The following is a 4,233-nucleotide window of genomic DNA, read 5'->3' as shown; positions in this document are numbered from 1 at the left end:
GGGCCCACTCCCAAGTCAGGGGTGGGAGGAGGACCTGGGACTGGGGAAGACATCACATGTCAGTAGGTTCCGTGATGCCCCACAAGCCACAAAACCAGCAAGTTTTTATTAGGGATTTTCAAAAGGGGAGGGAGTGTACAAATAGGTGTGGGTCACAGAGATCACATACTTCACAAGGTAATAGAATATCACAAGGCAAATGGAGGCAGGGCGAGATCACAGGACCACAGGACCGGGGCAAAATTAAAATTGCTAATGAAGTTTCAGGCACCATTGTCACTGATAACATCTTATCAGGAGACAGGGTTTTGAGAGCAACCAGTCTGACCAAAATTTATTAGGTGGGAATTTCCTCTTCCTAATAAGCCTGGGAGCACTATGGGAGACTGGGGTCTATTTCACCCCTACAGTTTCAACCATAGAAGATGGCCACACCTAGGGGGGCCAGTTCAGACCCACCCCCAAGCACATATTCTCTTTCCCAGGGATGTTCCTGAGAAAAAGAATTCAGCAATATTTCTCCCATTTGCTTTTGAAAGAAGAGAAATATGGCTCTGTTCTGCCCGGCTCACCGGTGGTCAGAGTTTAAGGTTATCTCTCGTTTCCTAAACATTGCTGTTATCCTGTTCTTTTTTCAAGGTGCCCAGATTTTATATTGTTTAAACACACATGCTCTACAATTTGTGCAGTTAACGCAATTATCACAGGGTCCTGAGTCGACATACATCCTCCTCAGCTGACAGGATTAAGAGATTAAAGTAAAGATAGGCATAGGAAATCACAAGGGTATTGATTGGGGAAGTGATAAGTGTCCCTGAAATCTTCACAATTTATGTTTAGAGATGGCAGTAAAGACAGGCATAAGAAATTATAAAAGTATTAATTTGGGGAACTAATAAATGTCCATGAAATCTTCACAATCCACATTCTTCTGCCATGACTTCAGTTGGTCCCTCCGTTTGGGGTCCCTGACTTCCCGCAACAATTAGGAGAAATACCTAATGTAAATGATGAGTCGATGGGTGCAGCGAACAAACATGGCACATGTGTACATATGTAACAAACCTGTACATTGTGCACATGTACCCTAAAACTTAAAGTATAATAAAATAAATAAAATAAAAGAATCCATGTTTTCTGGTCTTCCTGAAATATGTCTAGAAAGCAAGTATATAATTTATTTGCCAGTTAATGTTGGAGAAATGTATTGAATTAAAATATGATCAACACAATTTGGTCTTTGTGAGCATGCCAGCTGGACCTACTCCTCACCACACATTATTGTCACCTACATATCACTCTAAACCTTCTTATGCCCAAGAGAGGAGACATGATCTTCAGTGTCAGGAAAAGAGAAATGTGTGTTACTGTCCTAGGAGCTAGAAGCTTCAGCATGACAAGAAAGATTTGAAAATCCTACAGAGATTTGTCTAGTTTGAATCTTGTTTCTCAGGCTTATTTCAGTAATGTGTTTTTCTCTCTTGGGGCTGATGTGGTGTATCAGATATATGACATGCGGAAGTTTCAGAACCAAGAACAAAGCTCTCTAAAAATTTTTCATATGTTACATTTTAAAACATCTATTTAAAATAACACTGTACATAATTAACATACTATAAAATTGGTTTTAGCCCTCTCCTCATAAGATTCCTTTTATAGCATGTCAGAGCAAATTTGGAGTTCCATTCCCAAAAAGGCTGAGGTTGGTAGAACACAAAAAGTTTTTGCTCAGACCCAAATTTTGTTTGAAAAGAGGAGAAATATTATCAGCCCTTTCTAACCACGGCATAAATGGTTTACAGTTATGGCATGTAACCATAATTCCTTGCTATCATTTGGAGAGAGTTCAATTAGGAATAATCTCTTGATTTTGTTTTCTGGAACAAAACAAACTGGTACAAATTTTGGACAAAGACTTCCTAGAGGAACTAGGAAGAAAGATGATATGTCAGACGTATTTAAAAATAATAAATTAATACCATATTATTTTCATTTATTCTCCAAAAAGGAAAAAAAATTATTAAACACAATAATGCATATTTGGGCTTCAGGACAATACAAGGAAATTTGGACAAGGATATTCCACAAAAAATCACCTCTATCTTTTTTTGAGGAAAAAAAGGAACAATTTTCAATCATAGAAAATGAATCTGGGGTTGGCCAGTTTGGGATGGAATTGTGGTAGTGACAATAAACCATAGCTGGCAAACTGTGGTTGACACTCTCACTCCCCCTTTTCTTGTCTTAATCACCAACAATCCATTTTAAGTCATATAGAGTCAATATGGGGACATACTGAGTCCTCTAGACTTTACTGACCTATGGAGTTCATTAAATAGACTTTTTTCCTCTAAAATACCTTTTGTCTCCTTGCTGTCAGTCACTACACATTCCTCTCCTTTCCTGGATTGCTTTAGCAGTTTCTTTGTGTTGATTTCCAACTTTGTCTTGGATCTCATTGAGCTTCCTTGCAATCCATGCTTTGAATTCTTTACCTGTCACTTCTGAGTTTCCATTTTGGTTAGGAATCAAACCTAACTAAATCTCCATCCATTGATGGAGAGCTAGTGCAATCCTTTGGTAGTATCACTACTTTCAGATTTTTCATGGTTCCAACATTATTTGACTGGTTTCTTCTCACCTGGAGACACTGGCACTTCTAACTTTTATAATTAGTTCCGTGCAGGTAGTATTTCTTCTTTTTCTTCTTTCTTTCCCTATAATAATAGTATTATTGTTTTTTCTTTCATTTTCCCTTTCTATCCTCACCCCCTTCCTAGGGCCTAGGGGGTGTGACTGTAGACAATGCTGAGTAGAATCTTTTTTTTTTTTTTTTTTTTTTTGAGACAGAGTCTTGCTTTGTCACCCAGCCAGGCTGGAGCGCAATGGCATGATCTTGGCTCACTGCAACCTCCACCTCCCAGGTTCAAGCCATTCTCCTGTATCAGTCTCCTGAGTAGCTGGGATTACAGGCACCTGCCACCATGTCCAACTAATTTTTTGTATTTTTAGTAGAGACGGGGTTTCACTATGTTGGCCAGGCTGGTCTCGAACTCCTGACCTCATGATCCGCCTACCTCGGCCTCCCAAAGTGCTGGGATTACAGGCATGAGAGTGTAATCTTTTGGCTTTGCTTCTATAGCCCCATGCAATTCTCTTGGTAGGTTTTATATTAGGCTACACGGTTCACCCTACAGGGAAGGCTTGAGTTTTACAGCAGAAATTTTCTGTCTAGGTTCCCATTCAGGTCCATTTACACAAATGAAAGGTTAGAAACTTGCTTAATTCAGATTGGTCAACACAGCTGAGTTCCAATAGTTTGATGCAACTGAGCTCTAATTAGCTGATACAGAGAAGCCCTGCCTCGTTCATACAGCTGAGCCCTGATTGGCTTAGGCAGGCGAGCTCTAATTGGTTGGTTCAGGTGATGTCTGAAAGTTCCCAGGTTGAAATGGTGTGGATTTTGAGGGAATTCAAAGTACCTGTGTGACCTCTAGTCAGCCAATGGCTGCTTGGAGTCCAGTTAACCAATCAGGGTCCAGGATTGGCTCTTTCAGTTTCACTTTGTTCACACACTTCTGCCTTTGACTATACCGAAGGCTCAGCAAAAACAGACTGACTTTGTGCAGTTGCTTCTTAAGATACTCTTCTTGATTGTTTTATTAATTACCCCTCCAGTTCACTTTTTGTTTTCCAGACATGTAACAAAACCTTTCTGTGGTTGATGACTTCCACAATCTCTTGACTTTTATTGGTCTACTAATTTCGGTATCTTTATACTTTTATTTAAGTATGTTTTCAGGAGGAACACAAGGCTAATATGTGTTCATGGTCTATCCTTTTTTACTACAAGTCCCTGTTGATTTTAGTATCCAATGTTCTCATAGGAGAAAACCAACCTCTGTTAACAGATGTAGCATTTATGATGTCAACTTTTTTTGAGCAATCAATCACTAAAGATTTAGGATACAGTAATTTCTAATAAGGAAATTATACCTCTCCCATGCAGTTGATTTGAAGGTGAAATGAGGTAATTAACATGAAAATGCTTTGTAAAATTTTAAGTTCTATAAAAATACTTTGTGTTATTATTTTTGTTATTACTATACAATTTTATGTATGACATTGTCTAGGTGACACAGTGCCTTTTTGTTTATTCTTTTACAAACCGACCATATTTTTCAATATCTCAGTGGAAATTATGACATTGTGAAGGTTGGGAATGAAACCATA

At 38.6% G+C, this 4,233-nt stretch overlaps 1 long non-coding RNA gene across 1 annotated transcript in view; it reads right to left on the bottom strand.

Annotated features, from left to right (window-relative positions):
* Positions 1–4,233, bottom strand: part of LINC01507 (long intergenic non-protein coding RNA 1507) — a 210,026-nt gene that overhangs the window by 172,349 nt on the left and 33,444 nt on the right. The window lies entirely within an intron of this gene.

Source organism: Homo sapiens, chromosome 9 (genome assembly GCF_000001405.40).
Source record: "Homo sapiens chromosome 9, GRCh38.p14 Primary Assembly".
Lineage (NCBI taxonomy): Eukaryota > Metazoa > Chordata > Mammalia > Primates > Hominidae > Homo > Homo sapiens.
The sequence above is the reverse complement of the archived record's forward strand: the minus strand, read 5'-3'. Positions and strand labels throughout refer to the sequence as shown.